The sequence below is a fragment of the Homo sapiens genome, chromosome 20 (genome assembly GCF_000001405.40).
Source record: "Homo sapiens chromosome 20, GRCh38.p14 Primary Assembly".
In the NCBI taxonomy this organism is placed as follows: Eukaryota; Metazoa; Chordata; class Mammalia; order Primates; family Hominidae; genus Homo; species Homo sapiens.
This window is the reverse complement of record NC_000020.11, coordinates 59326131-59349701: the sequence shown is the minus strand read 5'-3', so window position 1 is coordinate 59349701 and position 23571 is coordinate 59326131.

Here is a 23571-nt window from a genome sequence, read left to right as displayed (position 1 = left end):
AGGTGATGATGGTCATCATCACCATCATCATTAATTATCATTATCATCACCATCATCATCTTCATTATCAGCATCAATCATCCTCATTGTTACCATCATCATCAATCATCACCATAGTCATCATCCATCATTTCCTCATTATCATCCCCACCATCATCCTCACCATCATTATCATCATCATCATCACTGTTATCATTAATCACCATTATCATCATCTTCATTATCAACATCAATCATCACCATTATCATTGTCATAATCATCATCACCAATCACCACCATAATCATCACCCATCATTATCATTATCACCATCAATATCATCTTCATCATCACCAATTATCACCATAATCATCATCCATCACTATTATCATTATCATCATCAATATCACTATTTTTGTCATTCCGCAGGGCCCTTACTATGTGCCAATCACTGTTCTAATGAAATGAATTAATTTATTGATCCTCACCACAACTCTTTAAGGCAGGTACTATGATTATTATTTCTCCGTACTTTAAAGATGAGCAAATTAATGCTTGAAGGAGTTACATGCTTGGCTCAAGGCCACAGGGCTAGCAGGCAGCAGAGCAGGAATAAGAACAGCTCTGGTCCAAACCCCCTCCACTCTCCTGTGCCTCATCAACCTATAGTAGACACCCATGGGGGCAGATGAACATTTGTGTTGAGACGTGATGCTGGTTATGAACCTCAGTACCTACCCAGGACCCAATCTAGCCCCTTACAGAGGCCCCAAGTATGTCTGGATGACCCTGGAGCCTGCCAGCTTCAGTCCTCTCAAAGGACCCTCCCTGATCGGCCCTTCTGTCTCTGCCACCTCTTGTGCATCTCAGTGTCTTCCCTCTCCAGGAGCTGCCCAAGGGACTCTCGATGTTGGCCAGGGTGATAGATGCATCTGCCAAAGGAGCTGCCTTCCAGTAACCCCAGTTCCACAAACCCTAGAAAACCAAGAGTTAGGATGGATTCCTCTCCCCAACTTGTGGTCATAATTTATCACCTGGGCACAAAAATGGGGCTGCTTGAGCCCAGAGTCTTGCAAAATCCCTGTGGAAATCAATGTCCTTTGTTTGTGGCCTTAAAACCTCTCACCATCCAAACTTTAAATCCAGGCCAGGGGGCTAGTGAGGTAGTGTCACCATCAAGGGTGCTGTCATCCTCCTTCTCTCCTCTGCTAAGTACCCCACACAGACTTTCCATGCCCCTTCTCTAGAAAGCCAGAGCCCCAGTGCTTAACTCATGAAAAGAATCCCTCATCCCAAAAGGAAGGGCACAATGTGACCAAACAATCTAAATGCATTGCAAATGTTTGAGACAACCCCACAGAAAAGGAAAGGTACTGACTTTAGTAACTTTGGAAATGAGTGAAGTCAGTAACACTAAAGACAAAAGGAACTGTACAGAAGCACTTGACTCGAGCTGATAAGGTTGCTTCCCACAGGGTCAAGAGAGGCACCATTGAATAATTCTGTTACTAATATCCATGTCCCTGGCAACTGAATAATGAAGTAAATGGACAGAAGATGGTGAACACCAGCTTTTCACCACTGGAGTGAGATAAGCAAGGGGTGGAGGCCAAATGATCCATGTGGTGATGGATTAGAGTTGGAGACATTAGTGTGAACTCACGTTGAGCTTTACATGGATACAGGTGGTTCCAAATAAAAATATTTATAGATCTGTGCATATACATGGGTTAATATGCACAATCGGATCCCCTTACTCTGTCAGCTGAGATAGTCTACAAGCAACAGCATCCCTATAGCAATGAGCCCACCTGTACCCAGATCTTGGTTTCTAATATCATTGTCCAGTAAAAGGAACAAAGGACCCTTGGGAAAGTAGCTTCTTGTAGGACTGATACAAGATGACCTTGGGGTGTCTTATAGTGCCAGAAAGTAAGGAAATGGTAAAGCAAGTAATAAAGATCCCACTAACAACGATGAGACTATGTCAAAGGGACACAGGAGCCAGCTGAAAGAGCTCCCCGTGCCCAAAGCTGGGACAATTTGTGCAATAAAATACATAAAATGTTATTGAATTGTAACCCAAAGTAAAAATAAATATCCATGAGACCACACTGATTAAATAAATGATTGACTAAGTAAATAAATTCGAGAACAGAGATAAATCTCCCAGGCAGAAGAATTCCAAATAGTTTATGTAGATACTGTGCCCTCGGGGAGATGGAGGATGACCGGCTACTTCTTAAGTGTGGCTGCACAGTGACCTTCCTCCAAAGTGTGTAATGAAGGACCAGACCTAATGTTGGAGGACAAGAGGCCCTCTTGATACTTCAGACAAGATCTGAGGATGAGAAGGAATTTGCAGACTTGGTGCATGGTGGTGGAGATGTAGGGAAGCACATCCCAGGCACAAGTAACAGCATGGGCTAAGACTCTGAGGCAGGGAGGAAGCATCTTTGAAGGAGCAGTGAGAAAATCAGGGATGGGACTCAAACTACAATGCACAGATACAAAGTGGGCACCATCAATGAGAACAACACGTGCGTAGGCTCTCACAGGGTTCCAGAGCTCTCCAGACAGACAAGCTTTATCCATAGATTGGGAGAGGTCCCGAAGGTTCCTGGGGAGGGTTAGAAGTGGGCTTTTGGGAGCTCAGGGTGGTGGTTATTTAATAACCAGCAGGGAAGGCTGCACAATTCTAAACGGGGGTAGGGGAACAGGAAATCTTTCCGTAAAAGGCCATGTAGTATGTATCTTAGACTTTGTGAGTCACATGGTTATTAAAACTACTCAACTCTGCCATTGTGTCAAGAAAGCAGCCACAGACAATTGGCAGATGAACAGGCATGAATGTGTTCCAATAAAACTTTATTTGTGGACACCAGAATTTGAATTTCATATCATTATTTGTATCAAAAAAATATTCTTCTTTTGACTTTTTAAAAATCAATATCACAAGCCTTATCAGAGAATTGGTCTTTTATCCCAAAGGCAAGAGAGCCTTGAGTGCAATTTTGGAAGCAAGTCCTGGACCCAGGCCTCAGGCATGTACTATTCCGGCCCTCGTGGTGCCGGGCCATGGGTGATTCTTTGCCCTAGATCATCCCTTTGGACTTTCCAGAATCCCACAGAATGGCATACAGGAGGAGAGGGCTGTGCTTGTGGGTCCCGCTGCCCAGGGAGACTGGGAGAGCAGCGAGGGACCGTTTGCTACTGGCGTGGGATTTTGCATTTGACTCTATTCTATTAGGTTGGTGCAAAAGCAATTGCCATTTTTGCCATTACTTTACCGGCATTACTTTAATGGCAAAAACCGCAATTGCTTTGGCACAAACCTAATATTAGGAAAAGCTGAGAGTGAATTACAATTTGGTTGGCTCTGGAATGGAGCTGGGGTCTAAATTCACATCTTTATCCAGTCACCCTTCACTGCCCCCACCACACACACACACACACACACACACACATCTGGTCTTGATCAATCTTGAAAGAATGAGGGAGAGGAGGCAATTTTCCCCCAGAAGGGAATCACCAGCCACAAAGTAAGCTGCTTATAAAGCACATTTGTGGAAACAGTGTCATGGTGTGGAAACAGCCTGCCTTTAGAATATGAGGTGTGTGATAATGGCCCCCCAAACCTGCTCCTTCTCTGCACACCTATGCAGAGAAGGAGTATAGGTGGTCTTGGCTGTCACCCAGCAGCACAAACCAGAATCTGGCAGCCAGGCTATGGTGCCAGTTGTTTGGCCAAACACTCATTGAAATGTTGCAGTGAAGATACTTGTAGAAATGACTCACCTTTGCAATCAGTTGACTTTAAGGAGGTTACCCTCAATAATGGGGATGATCCTCAGCCAATCAGTTGAAGGAGCTAAGAGCAAAAACTGAGGTTTCCTAAATAAGAAGGAATTCTGCCTTGAGACTGTGACATAGAATTGCTACCTCAGTTTCCAGCTTACTGGCCTGCCCTGCAGAGGTCAGACATGCCAGCTCTCACAGTCATGGGAGCCAGTTCATTATATGTGTATGCATATCCTACTTGGTCTGTGATATGGTTTGGCTGTGTCTCCACCCAAATCTCATCTTGAATTGTAATAATCCCCATGTGTCAAGGGCAGGGCCAGGTAGAGATAATTAAATCATGGGGGTAGTCTCCCCCGTATGGTAAAAGTAATTGAGATCTGATGGTTTCACAAGGGGCTTCCCCCTTCACTTCGCTCTCACTTCTCTTCCTGCTGCCATGTGAAGAAGAACATATTTGCTTCCCCTTCTGCCATGATTGTTAAGTCTCCTGAGGCCTCTCCAGCCATGCTGAACTCTGAGTCAATTAAACCTCTTTCCTTTATAAACTACATGGCATGTAGTAGGTATTCAGTGAATGGTGACTATTTTTTTCAGTGAATTCAGCCATGATTTATCCAGAGCCTATAACATGACAGGTCCCGGGCTAAAGCACTAGGGTAGGGGAATCTGGGGAAGAAGCTTACCATGGCCTCCGTCCATGATCACTGTCCTTGTATTCTCATGGTCAAATGCTCCCTCCCTTTTACAATGACAAAAACAAGGTTCCAAAAGTTAAGCAACTTATCCAGGTTGACACGGTTCTTAAGAGGCAAGAACCATACCTGACCTAAAGTGCACAGACTTGACAAGTATGCTACAGTTTTCTGCACAGCCTTTTTTCTTTCAGGAACACTGTTCTCTTGCTTCTTTGCCTAATGGGGAAGGACAATTATTACCCCTATGTTACCAAGGGAAAGCTGAGATCAAAGAAGTTCTGCAGGATGGCACTGAGTCCAAGCTGCTACTCCACTGCCCACCTTCCCCCAAGGCCTCCGTTCGTGATGCACAGCCTTGGCTCCCTAGGACCAAGCCCCCAAATCAGGGAAGAGCATTCACATCTCCCCCACTGAGCCTTGCCTTTCCAGAATGGCGAGGTCCTCCCAGCCGTGTGTTCCATGAAGGGAGCTTTGCTGTTACTTGTATTAGAGCTGTTTTTGGAATCCTTGCCTCTATTGCATTTCTCTTGCCTCAGTGCAGCCCAAGATGTTCATTTCCATGAGCCAGGAACCCCCACAAAGCGCTAAGAAATAGAGTCTGAGCTATAAACATGCCCAGATGTTCTCTTGCTGCTCAGCCTAGAAGCTGAGGGCCACTGCAGAGATTCTGGGCCACGTGCAGTCATGACGTGAAGCTTATTTCTACCGGAAGTTTTTTAAGGTTGTTTCATTAAACCCCTTATTGACTCTGGTTATGTTATTACGGGAACTGACTCCACTAGGGCCAGGGTCTACACTCTGGATCCAAGATCAACTAGTAATGTGACTTCAAGCAAACCAGCTCTTCCATCTGAGCCTTGATCTATTCACTGTTTATCAGTCTGCTTTTGCTGCGTAACAAACAAGCCCCAAACTTAATGTTATGAAACAAGACACACTGATGATTGTTTGTGAGTCTGGGGGTAAGCAGGGTGGTTCTTCTAGACTCTCTGGACTTACTCATCTGTGGTCAGGTGTAGTTCAGATGTACAACTCTGCTGTACTTGGCTGGGCTCTCTCTTGTGTTTGGGGTTTGGCTGGCTGTCAGCAGACGAGATTGGCCTTGACTGGGACAGCTGGGTTCTCCTCCTCCTGGTTTCTCACCCTCTGCAGCCCAGTCCAGGCTTGTTCTCATGGTGGCTAGACAGGGTTTTGAGAGCTCAGAATCAAGCAAGTCTCCCGATGTGTGGAACTCTAGGCTGGCTATCATTCATTTTAGGCTGGCTGTCATTCATTCTAGGCTGGCTGTCATTCATTTTAGGCTGACTGTCATTCATTCTGCCCCTTGACCAGAGCAAGCCCCAGACCAGCCTGTATTCAAGGTCTGCACTTCTCGATGGGAGATGCCACGAAGTCACATTGCTAATTTTACAGCTACAGGGAGAGAGGAAAACCATAGAGACTGGTAACCAGTCTATCGTCATCTGTACAGCAGCCATTGGCTTTTCTTTTTTGTATTTTTGCTGTTCAGCACTCATTTCCTCTTCCTCACACTGTCACACAGTGGCTGGAATGAAGAGCCTTCAGCAGACATGCCTACACTTCTGTGGGATTCTTCCCAGAGGTGAACAGCTGGATCAAAGAACACATGAGCTTCAAGTCTGGGCCCCAGCTCCCAATGACAGGAGGCTTTGTTCTGACTTCTGCCGGCAGAGTGTTGGGGCGCCAACGTCCCCATGCTCTCACTAGTGTTCTACAGACAACTTTCAACATCCCTGGGATCTTGTCACCCTCTCAATCCCTCAGACAACTTAGCCTGAGTGTGACCCAAGGCTTGCTAGAGTGGCACGGGGAGGTGCTGAAGGCTCGTTCCAATCCCCCAAAACTCACAGGCACTCTGCTCAAGGCAGCACCAGTGACCAGAAAGGCAGGCAGAAGTGTCCACTTCCAGGACTGTCTCTCCAGGCTGATGGAGGCTCACCCTCATGCAGGCGACAGAATCTGAGAGCTCACTGTCAGCAGGTTAGGAAAGCAGAGAGGGTTGGCACTAGGGCTGGGGTTGGAGGAAAAGGGGAAGGTGGTGACATTTCGAGGTCATCTTAGCCTTTCCCTAAAGCAGTGGGTCTCAGCCAGAAGTGACTGTGCCCTCAAGGTGACATCTTTGGTTGTGACACCTGCCCTCAAGGTGACATCTTTGGTTGTCACACCTGCCCTCAAGGTGACATCTTTGGTTGTCACACCTGGAGGGACCTACTGGCATGTAGTGGGTTGAGGCCAGGGATGCTGCTGAACACCCCGCAATGCACAGGATGGCCCCACCACAGAGGACGATCTGCACAAAATGTCAGGAGTGCTGAGGCTGAGAAACCCTTGCCCAAAGAAATGGCGACAAGGCCAAGCTTGTGGACTCTCAAGACAAAGGTCCAAAGTCCAAGTCAGCCTCGCCCACTTCCTCCTGAATTTTACTACTTTCCCCAGTTCCCACATCTGCAGAAGGGAGTCAGCGACCGTCCCTTCCCCAGGGGAATGTGGTGAGGTTCAGTGGGACAAGGCGAGCTGAGTGCACAGCCCAGGGCCAGTGCGCAGAGCTCAGTAAAGGACGGCGAGTGTCAAAAGCCATGTCTCCAAGCACATGCCCAAGTGTCTGCTCCCCACAGGGCTGAGCCAGCTCACATACCTGGCAAAGGAGCGACATGGGCCCAGTGCAAAGCAGATGCTGCGCCACCCTCACGGCATCCCCAGGAGGGCACTCCTTGTTCTCATTTCCTTCCCCAACAACACACTCAGCTGCTGGGGCAAGGACCAGGTGCAGATGAGAGGAGGACACACGCCAGGGCCCCGGGCCATCCGCACGGACGTCCAGTGACCTCCTCCAAATCCAAGCCACCCTGTCAGATGGCGGGCCCCTTGTCACCTTGGCTGCCTGGTGGCACCTTGTTTCACAGAGCAACCTGGGGCTGCCCCAAAGCTCTGCTCAGCTGCGAGGCTCTAGACTTTCTGAGAGAGAACTGCGCTCTGCCTAAGCCCAAGGCAGGAGTAGCCAAGCTCCCCCTGCAAAGGACACGAGAGCTGTCGCAGCCGCCAGCCATAAATCTCTCGGGAGGAGGATTTTCCTATGAGCACACAGGCGCTGCGGGAGGGCCGGGCTGGGAAAGCAGCCTCCTTCTAGGTGGCTCAGGCCCTGCATGCAGCCTCTGTCCCCTCTTGCTTGCTCAGCTATTGTTCCTGTGCCCACCTACACCCCCAGGGTGAAACCAAGTGAGGGCCTGTCACCACCACCTCAGCCTCAGTGCTTCCAAACCAGGCTTGTTCCCTAAGGCCTGCAGAGGAAGCCCCAGAGCCTGTCACATGACTGCATGAACCCCAAACTTGCTTCCCCTTTCGTCTCCTGCTGCTCACTAATGCTAAGTCCTCTCCCTTAGCAACAGACACACACATGCATGCACACACATTCATACACATGCACACTCACATGCACACACACTCACACAAGCACATACACACTCATACACTCACACATTCCTACACACCCCCTCATGCACACTCACACAAGCATGCACTCACTCATATACACTCACACAAGCACACGAAGCACATACACACTCACACACTACACATGCCTACAGTCACACCCCCATACACACATGCACACACAAGCACATACACTTATACACTCACACATGCATACCCACCCACACAGTCACACACACACTCACACAATGCACACTCACACAGCACACACTCATATACACTCACACATGCATACCCACCCACACACACATGCACACTCACAGCACACGCACACTCATACACATGCACACTCACACAGCACACACTCATATACACTCACACATGCATACCCACCCACACACACATGCACACTCACAGCACACGCACACTCATACACATGCACACTCACACAGCACACACTCATATACACTCATATAAGCACACACACATACACACAGGCCACATACAAACACACATACACTCACATGCACACACACACAAGCACACAGACTCAAACACATACACATATACTCTCACACTCATACAAGCACACACATGCATGCACACTCACACACATGCACACACAGACACACATACTCATACTCACATTCACACGCACAAACTCACACAGATGCACACACTCACACTCTCAAACACACTCCACCCCCAAATCCTAGCCATGGGACTGCATACATGCTTTCCCTCTGTCTCAACGCCCCTCCGTCTTGGGGTACACCTCCTCATCCTTTGAGGCCCTACTCAAAGGCTCCTTCCTCCAAGCAGCCTTCTCAATGCCTGCCGGGATACTGAGGCAAAAGAATGATCACAGGGAGCTTGCACCTGCTTTTAAAACCCTTATCATATCATCGAACCCTCACAAGAACTGCAGAGAAGGAAACAAGGCACAGACAGGTTGAATTACTTGCCTCAAGTCAAAAAGCCTTTTGGTTAGGAGCCAGGGTTTGCACCCAACGCCCCTCCTCTAGGCCTGCAGGCTTAATCGCCACATGTGCTGTGGTCTCTAGAATGGATTAGCCCCCTAGGGCTCTTGCAATAGCTTCTCATCTCTTAGTGCTTTGACCACGCTGCAGAAGGCTTCCTGGATGCCGCTACCCGTAGGATCAGCTTCTAGAAAGCGAGGATCAACCCCAGAGCACCAGGGCCGTGCTCCATTGGCTCTGCAAAATTGTTACCACAAGGCCCTCTTGGCTCCGGTGTCCTTCGGAGCTGTCTGAAGGACTGGCTGGAAGACTTCCTTTTCATCAGGATCCATCTCCCCAGCTGCTCCCTAGCAAACACCCTCAGTCTCCCCATGCTGGGTGCAGATGTTGTTTTGCTACACAGTGAGCTTGTCCCCACATAGCTGAACCCTGACACCCTCCCTGCTCATCAGCGTCCCATCTCTTCTCTTGCAACACACCATTCTTTGCAAAGATGACATCTCTGGGCCACCCAGTCTGACACAGGGCATGTCTCAGTAACCCAGAGAGTCCTTCTCCAGCCAGCTTGCATCCCCGTTGAGATTTGGAAAGGCCCCAAAGTGACTTATGCTCCACACAATGGGGCTGCCCATCATGATGGATGTGACATTGTTTCATAGCAGACACATGAAAAGATTGCAAGGCAGATCCCCTTCTTTTTGTCTCCTTCTCATTATTTTTATTGATAACATGTGCCTAGCACACATTATTCTAAGAACATATAATGCATTATCTCATTTAGTTCTCACAACCATCCCATGAGAAAGTGTTATCACTATCCCTACAGTGCAAATGGGGATACTGAGGCAGTGATCAAAGAACTTGCCTTGGTCATTCAGAGGAGTGGGGCCAAGTTTCCAGCCCAGAGCACTTAGGCCTCTGCAGGCAGTGCCGGCAAAGATGGTGCCATGCATGTGTGGGGTGAGGGCTGGCTCTTGCTAGTGGTGGATTAACACTGCTTCCAAATACTAAAGTCTCTTCTGAATGATCCCAGCCTGCATGTGCAACTAAAGGAGGGTTAACATTTACCAGACCTAACTTGCTGCTCCTACCCCCACCCACATGGGTAGAATCTCTGGGGCTCCCCATGGCCATCTCGAGGAGTGCAGATAGCAGGTCCACTGGCCATCCTCTGGCCCCACCAGCCTTTTCAGGACAAGCCTCCTCCACCTTCTTCCAGAACTTCCACAAGAAAACAAATGTGCAGAGTACAGCGGTTGCTGAGAAGGTAACATGCTTGGGCCCCAGGCGCTTCTGCCTTCCTTGTCCCTCTCCTCCATAAAAAGGATTCCCAAGTCTATGTCCAGCAGCACTGGTGTAAAGAGCACATAACCCAGCTGCTTCCAAACTTGGCGTGAATGTGGTTCCTGCAGAGCCCAGGAAGGTGGCAGGGGGCTGGATGGGTCTGTTCCAGGAGTGAGCAGGGAATTCCCTCTGACCCACTGACTTCGGAGCTGGTCATGGAAGTTTTGAAATGCAATCCCTTTTTTTTAAGTATAAAATAATATATGCTCATGAGAGTGCAAAACCAAATGAACCATGACTGAAGGACATAAGAATAGGAAGAAAAAGCCTCCTACCTCCTTCACCCCAACATTGCATTTTCCAGAAGTTTCCCATACATACACACACGGTATGTCCATCTTACATTCCAGCAACTACAGTGGATCCTCCTGTGTGTGCTGGTTTGCACTGGATCCCACTCTAGGTGAAAGATAAGATGGACATTCCTTTTCTTTGGTGGATCCACTGGGACCTCTCTCCATGTTACCTTCCACGGGGTGGAGGAGGTCCTGTCTGTCTTGGTCCCTGGTGCAGTTCCGTTTTGGTCCAGGAAATATTTCCATTGAGTGGAGGGGCACAGCTCAGCCCCTGCCAACCTGCTGTGGAGTTGGAGCCTCCTCACTTGAGGCTGGGGGTGTGGGCAGCCATAAACTCATTGCCGTAAGCAGTTCTGCTACGGCAGAACCTTGTATCTTAGACACGTGCACTAGTGCGTTGGGAGGGTAAATTCCTAGAAGGCCATTGTGAAGTCAAGGGTGCACGCGCTTTTAATTTTGATGGATGTTGTCAGATTGCTGCACGTCTGAGGAGGCAGCAGATCATTGACTCTTGGTGCAGTTTCAGTTCTTTTTTCTTGGAGCTTCCTGTGTTCTTCCTGTCCAATCTTCTCAAGCCCAGAGGCACATTGCTGGTGAAGATTGAGGCCTCTGGAGCTGGCCTGGGGGGCTGTGAACCCAGCTTCTGTCCTTGCTGACTCTTCCCAGGCCTCTATGTCCTCGTCTGAAGAATGGGTGAATGTCAGTACTGACTTCAAGGGCGGATCTGAGGCCTCATGAACTCACCTCCCAGCCACCAGCATCCCCAGGTGCACATAGATCAAGGGAACAAGCTGTGGTCATGGGACATGAGTTTATTGGACTCTGGAAGGCCTGGCAGTGAGGTCTGGGGTGGCATTGCCCTTGGGGTTGTTGAGGGATGTTGGGGACAAAGTATGGCCCTTCTGAGCAGGCCACCCCTGCTGACCGTCCTCTCCTCTTTTGAAGTCCCAGAGATGAGGTGGTCCGTTTAACTACAGACAGCCAAACAGGGGCCCAGAGAGGCAAAGTAAGTTGCCCAAGGTCACATAGCCCATCACATTATGGAGGAGATCCATATTCAGTATTATTACAATGTTCACTTTTTCATCTGATTTTAAAAGAAATTAAAACATTTTCGGCCAGGCGCAGTGGCTCATGCCTGTAATCCCGGTACTTTGGGAGGCTGAGGTGGGCGGATCTCCTGAGGTTAAGAATTCAAGACCAGCCTGGCCAACATGGAGAAACCCTGTCTCTACTAAAAATACAAAAATTAGCTGGGCATGGTGGCACATGCCTGTAATCCCAGCTACTCGGGAGGCTGAGGCAGGAGATCACTTGAACCCAGGAGGCAGAGGTTGCAGTGAGCCGAGATGGCACCACTGCACTCCAGCCTGGGTAACAGAGCAATACTCTGTCTCAAAAAAAGAAAGAAAGAAAGAAAAAGAAAGAAAGAAAGAAGGAAAAAAAAAGAAATTAAACCCCGTCTCTACTAAAAATACAGAAAAAAATTAGCCGGGCGCGGTGGCGGGCGCCTGTAGTCCCAGCTACTCGGGAGGCTGAGGCAGGAGAATGGCGTGAACCCGGGAAGCGGAGCTTGCAGTGAGCCGAGATTGCGCCACTGCAGTCCGCAGTCCGGCCTGGGCGACAGAGCGAGACTCCGTCTCAAAAAAAAAAAGAAATTAAAACATTTTCATAGGACCCTAAAAGTTTCATGGGCCCTAGGCCCTGTGCTCACTGTGCCAAGCGGGTAAGTTGGCCCTGAAGCTGCGCCAGGGTTTGCAGCAGAAGGAACCACAGAGCCCTCTCCTAAGCCTGACACCTGTCTGCCTCCTGTAGGCCCCATGTCTGCCTAGCTGGAGGGAGGAGCTCACAGTCCACCTCAATCAACCTCAGTGGCTGAAATCACACCACAGCGGTGGACAGGGAAGGGATGAACTGCATGCTGTACTCCTCCATCTTCTCTGTCCTCTTAGGTACCCTCGCCCTAAACTCTTTGAGCCCCCAACCAATGGCCAAGGGGTATCAGCTCATGTAAGTCAATGCCACAGGGAATCAATAACCCATCAGTTCCCAGAATCAGGCTGTGAATTCCAGCCTGGGCTTGGTCAGGCTCCCGTTCGCCCATCCAACATTCCAGGATTCAGCAACAGTTGGCCACTTTCACAGAGAAAGAAGGTGCTACAGAGAACCTGGCACCAAGCTGATATTGAAACCACACCAGGGTCCTCCCAGCGCAGCCTCCACTCTGTCCCCAGCATTTCCTGAGCTCTTCTGTACTCCCAGAATCTGTGAGGAGCACCCCACTTTAGGCAAACATGCTCTTCTTAACAAGTTATGTGTAAAAGGAACTTGATATGAATTCTGTGTGTTCCTGAGACTTCAGTCTCACATTCTGACTTCAAGTTCCTCTGACCCGCAGACTCTCTGTCAAGGAGTCAGCGCTGATGCTCTATAAATCAGCTTTGAACTTCGGAGAGGCCCACACATACGGCCTAAGAGTCCTTCCTGCACGTGAGGAGTCACTTCCAAAATATCCATTCCAGGCCAGACTATAGCCAAACAAGAAGACTACATTTTTATTGCTTATTTTTTCTCACTCCAACAAAATCTTCATGGACAGTCTTCAGAGGATGTCTTGATTTTTGCTGGCAAATGTAGAGAAATATGTCAGATTATTACTATCATTTAAGCAATGGGTTTTTTCCGGGTATTTTGTGATTTTTAAGTAACATTATGGTAAATATCTTTGTAATCAAAACTTGGGGTATGAACATTTTCAAGTTCTTCAATCATTTTGACAAACTGTTTATATAATAACCAATTCCAACTTACACTTCTACTGGTATGCTGTGAGAATGTCAATTCCTCTGTATTATTGCCAGGTTTTTAAAAAATGCCAAAATTCATGTTAGTATTAAAAAATTTATATTTTTTCAATTAGGGAATAAAGAGATGAACCACATCAGAGACAGATGCCCATTGGATCATGAGGAAGTAAGTCGCCTCGATCTAGATTACTAGATAAAATACAGAACACAGTTAAATTTGAACTTTGGGTAAGTCGTGATAATTTTTCAGTGACTATCCCATTATTACACGGAACATACTTCTACTAACATTTTATGTATTGTTCAACTGAAATGTAAATGTAACTGGGTTTCCTGGATTTCTATTTGTGAAATTTGGCAACCCTACCTCAATTCCCATTTGTGAGCATGTACATTTTATCTACATTTTCCTTTCAAACATTAGTGTAAAACTTCCTACCTTTACCATGTACGCATACTTATGCTAAGACCGTACTCAGTACTTGCTCTTCGCTGATGAATGTCTTCCTCGGTAATCCTATATGTCAGTACCATTATAAGTAGTATTAATTTACTTAGAATACAAAAGCATGTATTATCTTAAAAGTTTCTGCAGGCCAAGAAATCTAGAGAGGCTTAGCTGGGTGGCTCTAGCTTGGGATCTTTCATGAGGCTGCAGTCCTCCAGTGGTCCACCTGGCACATTGGTGCTGACTGTTGGCAGGAGGCCTTGGGTATATGATCATTCCCGTTTTACAGGCAGAAAAAGTGAGGCTCAGAGAAATTAAGGAACCAACCAGGCCAGCTGGGGTAGAAAACAAAGCTGCCTGAATCTAGACACGAGCCTTAACAGCTATTCAGTTTCATCGCAGGTGAAGAAGTTTTTCCATGTGCATCATAAAGGAAACAGTTGTAATTAGCTACTTTAAAGTGCTACCGTGTGTGACCTTAAGTATTACTTCAAGTACAATAAGAACTAAGAGAATATGGTCCATCAGAAATCTGGTAGACCTGGAAAAGAACCATTTGTAATTACCCTATTAATTTATTACATAGTAACAGATACTTTGAAAAGGCCAGGAAAGAGTTTGTTCCTGTTAGAAGGCTGGGCACATCCCATGCAGTCAGGATTATGCTCTTAATTTGCTTTTTCATAGATAATTCAGAAAGAAGCTCCAATCCATGCCGTGTCAGAACAATTATACACTCTAAATTTATGGAGCCCACATTACCATGTGTTGACCGCAAACCCTGCAGGTGCAGAAAATGTGACGTCAGAGGATGATTTAATTGAGGCATCAGGGAAAACAGCACAAATTCTGCTGTTCTGGGCTTTTTTGGTAACTAACCCTGAGCCTCTGGGAGGCTTCCAGGCTGAACACCCATCTCCCTAATCCTTTCAACAAATGGTCTCCTCCCATTCTTCTTCCACATTTCCCAAAACTCTGAGGGAGAAATGGCTGGGCCTCCGTGACGAGGGTGGGAAACATGTGGTCACTGGAACAGGTGGTACCACCTGTGGTTGGCGCTAATTCCAGGCCCACAGCTGCTGCCCAGCTGCAGAGACCCAAATCCCAAGGTTTTTTGAGGATTTTCCCACCATCTGGGCTCTGAAATTCCCATGCCCAGAAGCTTCCTTGTGAGCCAAAGTGTCCCACTGCAAATGTTACCAGTGTCCTCAGGGGATCCCTTCACAGTCCCGTCTTTCCCTGAGACATTTCAAACCTCTCCCACAGGGGCCCCCACAATTATGTCCCATCTGTCTTCCAGCAATGACTGTCCATCAGAAGAGGAGCTTTCCCCCAGCCCCATCCAAGCCTGGATCAAAAAGAGCTTGGGACTCCTCCAATCATATTCTGTCACCCTTTGCTGTCATCATGGCTTTAGTATTCTAACAGGGGAAGAAAAGCATTTTAGAGATCTGAGAAAAAGCCCTCTTCCCATCCTTCAATTGTCTTGGTTATTCACCTGTTAGCTATATAACAACACAGGCACTCAACATAAGACAGGAGATGAGGAAGCAGTTTTCTTCTGAAAGAGACCCCAAAAGGGTGCATACATTTCTATGCTTTCTTTTCCTCACAGATTCTCTGCCCTTGGAAAAGCTGGGCTTGCATCATTAATTGATTCATTCAACAAACTTTCCCTGAACACAGACTTGATTCTGAGCTCAATAAGAGCAAACATTTATCAACCTGTCTGGCCCTGTGCCAAGCGCTTGATGTGCATTCAATGCGCACGACGACTCCGTGAGGAAGGTAACCTTGCTCTCTCCAGGTCACAAAAGTATTAGAGCTCAGAGAGGCTAACTTAGTTACTCAAACAACACCTAGAAAACAACTGGGGAAAACCAGAGTTACAGAGCCTGGAGCCCGAGCTCTCACTCGCCAGCCTTCGAGGCTTCTGATAAAACACGAGGGCCAGGGTGCGCACATTGATGCCACGCCGCTCCATGTGGTAAAAGAGCATTTTAGCAAATGTGCATTTTGCATCATTGCCATTTGACATAGATCAAGGTAACATCGATTACGTTGTATAGAACAGACAGGATTTGAATATAGCAAAGGAATATTTTCTGTGAGGGCTAAACATTTCCTTGTAATATTGAAACACAAATAAATCATAGATTTGCTAGTCAGCTGTGACGAAGATATAACTCCAATTCTCCCCCTCGTTCTACATCCACACCCTTTGTAATGTGATTTTATGGCCCCTGCTATCAAGAGGTAGAGTTTATTCCCATGCAGCTTGAATCTGGGCTGCTTTTTGACTTGCTTCAAATAATAGAACATAAAGGAGCCAGGCCTTGGAGACCCAAGTCTCTGAACGTAACACTTTTCTCCCCCGCTGGGCCCCTCACCCCCACTGTGGGGGCAAGCCAGGCTACCCATGAGGACAAACCAGGCTACCCTGCAGATGAGTGACTATGTGGAGCAGAGCCAAGTCACCCCAGCCAGGGCCACACCAGACCAGCCAGTCCCAGGTCAAGCTACCAGCTGACGGCAGATGCACCAGCTAGCCCAGTCAAGATCAGCCCAGCTCAGCCCAGATGAGCAGAAACACTCATTTATGGGGGAGTGGTGGGAGGGAGATTATTTTTTAAGCCACTAAATTTTGGGGTGATCTGCTGTAAAGCAATAGCTCACTGACACAAAGCTAACAAAACATCAAGCATTTTGCTTTCTCTCTTGATTGATCATTTGAATTTAGGCAACACTTGGACCCACACAGAAAAGAACCATACGGCAGCCCAGAGCTGCTTTAGCCTCAGACAATTCCTAACAGTAACAAAGCTATGGCTTAGGAGCCTTCCAAGGGCCTGTATCTGAGGGCCGAAACAAATAGAATCCATTGGCTCCAAAATACAAAACAAAGCAAAGCAAGGTGAAAACAAAAACAACCTTGCAAAATAAAACTGATAACTGCCTCATTACATGCCTTCAAAACAAAACATTATGTCAACTAGTCAACTGTGACTCTATTAATATGTAACCATATGAATTACGTATAATTTTGTGCTCACAAGCAAAATAAATAACTTCTTTTTAATGAAATCAAAAAATTTAAAAATCATAAGAAAATTCAAATTATTATTATCTTTGTCAGCCGGACGTGGTGGCTCACACCGGTAATCCCAGCACTTTAGGAGGCCGAGGTGGGCGGATCACTTCAGGTCAGGAGTTTGAGACCAGCCTGGCCAACATGGTGAAACTCCGTCTCTACTAAAATTACAGAAATTGGCCTGGCGTGATGGCGCACACCTGTAATCCCAGCTACTCGTGGGGGCTGAGGCAGGAGAATCACTTGAACCTGGGAGGTGGAGGTTGCAGTGAGCTGAAATCACACCACTGTATTCCAACCTTGGCAACAGAGCAAGATTCAGCCTATATATATATATATTTTTTTCTTTGTCACTTTTACTGAGCCCAATTCCACATAATTTTCCCAGGAAATATGGTAAACATTTTGGAAAATCTTACAGTCCTCCGATAATTACCTAGCATGGGATGCATCCGCGTTTTCATGGCATCGCCGTGCCGTGGCCTGAAACCTCTGAAAATGACTGCGCCCAGGGCCTGCAGAAGTCTTACAACAGCTCTGGAAAAGCTTCTTCTGCAGGCTCATTGCACCCGATTGCTGAGAAAATGAGAACTGCGAGTTCCCCTGAGGAGACAATTAGTACTGATCTGAATCAAGAAACACCAGCATGCCTTTTGATGAACACATGTGGTGGCTCCTAGAGCCTACGTCCCCAGACAGGAGAGCCTTGTCAGGTAGCAGGTGTCTACACTGCGCCGATCCAGCAGGGACCTGCTTCCCCTTGGGTTCCGTTGCACTCTGTCAGTCCCTGAGCTCCTGGGCCGACATCGGTCTGTTTGTTTGCTTGCCTTTTCACTAGACTGTGAGTCCCTCAAGGCACAGACCATGTGGTGCTTATCTTTGTGTCTTCCTTCACTCAACAAATGTTTACGGAGTGCAATCAAGTGCTAAGTACTTGTCTAAGTACTAAGATTACAGCAGCAAACACAACAGACATCAACTCTACCCTCCCAGGGGAGACGAACAGAGGGGATAAGTTATGTTTTAAAGTGACAAAATAAGTATGCAGAAGATAAACTATTTACAAATTAACCACGAGGTCTCCAGCCTTGGGCCTTCCTCTCCCTTTGGCTTTGTTTTCTACTGCCTCACCCTCCCCACCACCCCAGAGGATCTCTACACACTGGGCCAGCTCTCCAGACCCTCTGGGAGGTAGAACTGGGGAAAAGAGCTGAGGACAAGAGGCTCTCCGGTAGGATTCTGCAAGACATGGTTAAAGAGGTGTCGAGAGAGAGGGGGGAGCAGCTGCAGGGGTGAAGGAAGCAAGCAAGAGAGAAAACGGGAAAATTTTACCAAGCATGGATCATCTTCATCTCTCTCTTTGCAGCATGTGGGAGATTAAGTAGAGCCCTCACGTCACCTTTTGGTGCCTGGACTGTGCTTCTGTGTGGCTCGGCTTTGAGACTGGACAGTGGGCGATGGCCTGCCATGCTATCCTGTGATAAGTGCTATCAAACACAGAGCCATGGAGGGGCTGGACCCAGACCAGGAGGGGATGGAATCTATGCTAGCCAGGGGATGTGGAGGTAGGAGGAGAAGAAAGAAGAGCGTTCTAGGCAGAAAAACAATCTAACTGAAGGTCACAAGGTGGACAGGAATTCCGGCAGCTGCAAGGAGCCTCTTGTGGCTGGAGTTTCAGGAGCACTCGGGTGCCATGAGCCTGCAGAGATGAACAAGGGCCAGATCACGGAAGGCCTCATAGCCCTGTGAAGGAGTTACCCTCACTTTGACTTAAGTGCTTGGGAAATAGGAGATTCTTAAGAACTGGCTTTTTTCTTTTTCTTTTTTTTTAATGCTGACTTAGTATTTGCCAAGAGAAAAGGCTCATCCACCACAGTTCTAAACTCAAGTCATATCTGAAGCTGCCTGAGCCACTAGGAAGTGCCTCTGTTATTAAATCACTTTGGAGAATGTCCAATAGCAATTCCAATGCAGACTGATGTTTCCTTATCTGAAACCTATACCTATAAGTAGGGATCCCTGATTCCAGGTCCCAAGGTTAATCAATTAATTACCAGGAAGAAGGGTCCCCTGGTTTTTGATCCTAGCAACCAAGTGAATGCACATTTAAGATATTTAAGGTTGAATTTTTGAACTCCAGATACTCTGACCTCAGGTATGACTGGGATATGGTTGTGATAATAATTCCTTGGGCATCCCTGTCATGATGTCACTCGCTCACTGGCCGCTGGCTTGTCATTGCATTGTGATTTGGGAGCAAGTCTCCTCTGACACTTTCAAAAACAGAATGCAATTTTCCCATTAAATCATCTCTTTCGGCCAGGTGTGGGGACTCATGCCTGTAATCCCAGCACTTTGGGAGGCTGAGGCGGGCAGATCATGAGGTCGGGAGATTGAGACCATCCTGGCTAACACGGTGAAACCCCGTCTCTACTAAAAATACAAAAAATTCGCCGGGCGAGGTGGCGGGCACCTGTAGTCCCAGCTACTCAGGAGGCTGAGGCAGGAGAACGGCGTGAACCTGGGAGGCAGAGCTTGCAGTGAGCTGAGATAGCGCCACTGCACTCCAGCCTGGGTGACAGAGCGAGACTCCATCTCAAAAAAAAAAAAAAATCATCTCTTTCCCCTACTTATAACATTAGGCTGTCTGCTGGACCACAGGTTACAGAGAGAAATAAAGGAAGATGTCACCAGGTCTTCTCTAGTGAGAAACATGGACAACACATATGGTTGGAAAGAAGTATCTGATAAGCCTGTTGAGATGCATTTCATATTGGAGGCTGGATACTGATGGAAACCATCCATGGCTTCTCTTGGAAGAAGCATTTAATCTGCGTTAATTCTAGACAGGCACACTGTCCTAGTCAAGGCTCTTGGGTTACCAGGTACCTCCCAATGGCCCTTGATGGGTTTTGCTGCTCATTATCCATTTTCCCTTCCTCTGGAAAAAGCATCCAAACTTCCTTTGGGTCCAAAAGCTGAGTATGAGAGCCTAGGCCACTCCTTACATGGTAACCTTCAAGCCCATTGATTAGCTCAGGATGGACACAGTACCCACGCTGGCCCAATCACAATGGAGCCAGCACTTACACAGGAGTAACTGGGGACAAAGCTCTCCCCCTGCCCTTGGACTTTCTGTTCCATACCCTGACCTCTGGCTTGAGTTCAGTCACCAATGGCCAATGATTTAATCAATCAGGCCTAGGTAATGAAACCGCCATAAGAAGCCTTAAGTAAGTTCAGGGAGCTTCGACGATGGCCAACCCATGGATGTACTGGAGCGTGGAAACCTCCTCTCCCAGGGCTTCATTCTTTGCCTGTTTTCCATGGGGCTGTTCCTGGGTCACACCCTTTATAGGAAAGCTGAAGTTGTATGCACAGTACTTCCCTGAGTTCTGGGAATTGTTCTGATGAGTTCTCAAACATGGGGGTATAGCTTAGATTATGGAACCCCCAAATTTGTAGTAGGCTGGGAAGAAATGTGGATCTGCTGGAAACCCCACTTGTGTGGCTGGTGTCTGAAGTAGGGGCAATCTTGCAGGATTGAGACCTTAGCTTGCTGGCTCTGATGCTAACTCCACATAGATAAAGTCAGAATTGGGTTCAGTTGTTGGACACTCGGTTGGTGTTGTAGAATTGGATAACTGGTGTGGGAAAACAACATGTATTTGGTGTCAGGAAAAAAACCCACACCCTCGGTGGCAAAGGTGGTGTCAGAGGAAGACAGTGTTATAGGCCAACTTGTGTGAGAAAGTAGTGAGAAGTGTTATATGCTAACTTGTGTGGAAAAGTAGTGAGAAGCAAGACTACATGTTCCTGTTTGCTCCTACTCACACAATGCAGATGAAAAGGTACTCCAGACAGTCATGACAGTGGTTTTCTGGGGGTGGAGGTGAGGCAGGGAGGACAGGACAGGGAGGGGGCAAGAAGTCCCTACGTAGAATGTTTTAATAGTTTCAATTTTTCAATCAAAGAGTTTTACTTGCTCAATGTTTTAATTAAAAATACCTTCTCCATAAAATTATTCTGAGCCTTCATTCCTCACCCTCAGCTGCCATTAACTAATTATACAGTAGTACAGGTAGGCACAATGTGTTCAGGTGAGGACCAATTTCTAGCTATGTGGCCATAGGCTGGTAACCCCTCTGTGCCCCGGTTTTCCTCATAATCCATAAAATGAGGACACAAATAATACAGACATCATGGAATTACGTTGAGGGCTTAAAACAATTGCATATACTTCGAACAAATTGGAGACTTATTCTTGTGTGTCCTGGGCTCCTCACACACACCTTGTGCAAGGAGAGATCCTAGGAAACACCGTGGATTGACTGACAGGAACAAGCTTCCCGGAGAAATGTAACCCCTCGATAACCCACAACTGTCTCTAATGACAGTCCCGGGTTTTCAATACTAAACTCAGACTCAAAAATAGGGGAAAAAAGAAAATATCAAAATATTCAGGCAAAGGAGAAATGGAGAAAATAGGCACTTCAAGTAGTTTAAACAGGCACTCCAGAGATGCCAGAGAACAGTGGAGTGGCAACGTTGGAGGAGGACACTAAGTCTTCCAGAAACAAGTGGAGGAAAGAGGCCCTTCAACTGAAAAGTCAAACCAATTCTATCTGGTATAAATTGAATGGAAATCTCTGCCTGGACACCTTATACTGAAACTGCAGAATGTCTAGGATAAAGAGAAAAACATTAAAGCCACCAGAAATTAACCTATGATTTGTCTCAGAGAAAATTTCTAACCAGCAATAACTGACCTCAAAAGACAATGAAATAACATCCTCCATCTAAGGGGCTACTACTGTCAACTTAAAATTCTCTCCCCAGAAAAACTATCATTTATAAATTTCAAAATAAAGATATTCGCAGATAGACAAACACATAGAAAAAAGAAGAAAAGGTAAAAGAAAGAAACTGAGGCTGGGAGAGTTTAAAGCTGGTTTCCCTAAAGGACATGGTGTCAAATCCAGGTCTCCAGACTCCACAGCCTTTTTTTGCTGGGCTTCAGCTGAGGCAACCTTCACAGGTGAACAGGATCCCGGGCTCAGAAGGGCTGGACGCCCGTGGTTTAATGCACGATCTGAAGTTCTTACTCCTTCTAAGCCAGGGGCCCTACAGTTTCCATAGCCAATCCTGCTCATAAATCCATAGACTGCTCCTTCATTCCTCCACCCAGATGCCAGAAAAGCCTGCCACGTCTGGGCCTCGGACTGCCCATGACTCCTGGAAGTCCTTGGCTGTCCTCCTCTGCCTGGGGCCTCCGTGGCACCTGGGCAGCTCCTGGACTCCAGGACCTGTTAGTGCCTCGAGTGAACGCTGCAGCTCCTGCTGTGTGCTGCCCCACATCCTGCAGAAAAAACCCAACGCTCTCAGTCCATCAAAGTCAAAACTCTCTAAGATGACTTTAATTAAAACAAGAGGCTCCTGGGTTTTCTCAGATCAGGTAGCCATCAAACTCAAACCTACTCCTCTTCTTGGATTTCTCTTTGCTCTTTGGCTGGGCCTGTCTTTGTCCAATTCCCTGCCTCCCACGGTCTCTGATTCTTTATTCAAAAGGCAGGTGGAGAAGGTAGGAAAGGAAGTAAGAAAGAAAATGAAGGAAACCCCACTCTTTCCGAACATCCCCAATCCCCCAAGACGTCTTATAAGCTTTAAAGACTTGCAGGTGTGATCATTGCTGTCTTCTGGTTATCAAGAACTCAGCAGCCACACCCTTTCCCTAGAATCCTGAGCCCCCAGCAGTGCCCTCTCACTAGAATCCTGAGCCCCCAGCAGTGCCCTGTCTCTAGAATCCTTAGCCCCCCCAGCAGTGCCCTCTCCTAGAATCGAGCTCCCTCGCAGTGCCCTCTCCCTAGAATCCTGAGCCCCCCAGCAGTGCTTTCCATAGAATCCTGAGCCCCCAGCAGTGCTCTCCCCCTAGAATCCTGAGCGCCCCAGCAGTGCTCTCCCCCTAAAATCCTGAGCCACCCATCAGTGCCCTCTCCCTAGAATCCTGAGCCCCCCAGCAGTGCTCTCCCTAGAATCCTGAGCCCCCAGCAGTGCCCTCTCTCTAGAATCCTGAGCCCCCCAGCAGTGCCCTCTCCCTAGAATCCTCAGCCCCCCAGCAGTGCTCTCCCTAGAATCCTGAGCCCCCCAGCAGTGCTTTCCATAGACTCCTGAGCCCCCCAGCAGTGCTCTCCCCCTAGAATCCTGAGCGCCCCAGCAGTGCTCTCCCCGTAAAATCCTGAGCCACCCATCAGTGCCCTCTCCCTAGAATCCTGAGCCCCCCAGCAGTGCTCTCCCTAGAATCCTGAGCCCCCCAGCAGTGCCCTCTCTCTAGAATCCTGAGCCCCCCAGCAGTGCTCTCCCTAGAATCCTCAGCCCTCCAGCAGTGCTCTCCGTAGAATCCTGAGCCCCCCAGCAGTGCCCTCTCCCTGGAATCCTGAGCCCTCCAGCAGTGCTCTCCATAGAATCCTGAGCCCCCCAGCAGTGCCCTCTCCCTAGAATCCTGGGCTGCACAGGCATCTTTGGCAGGGCCACAAGGAAGCCTCCCTATTGCTAGGAAGGCACAATGGCCTAGGGGAAGAACCAGCTCTCTCCCCAGGTTTCTCTCTTCCTGACTGCTGTGAATGTTTTATCTTCTTGGAACGGTCCCCAAACCCCACTTCTTCCTTAATATTCAGGCAG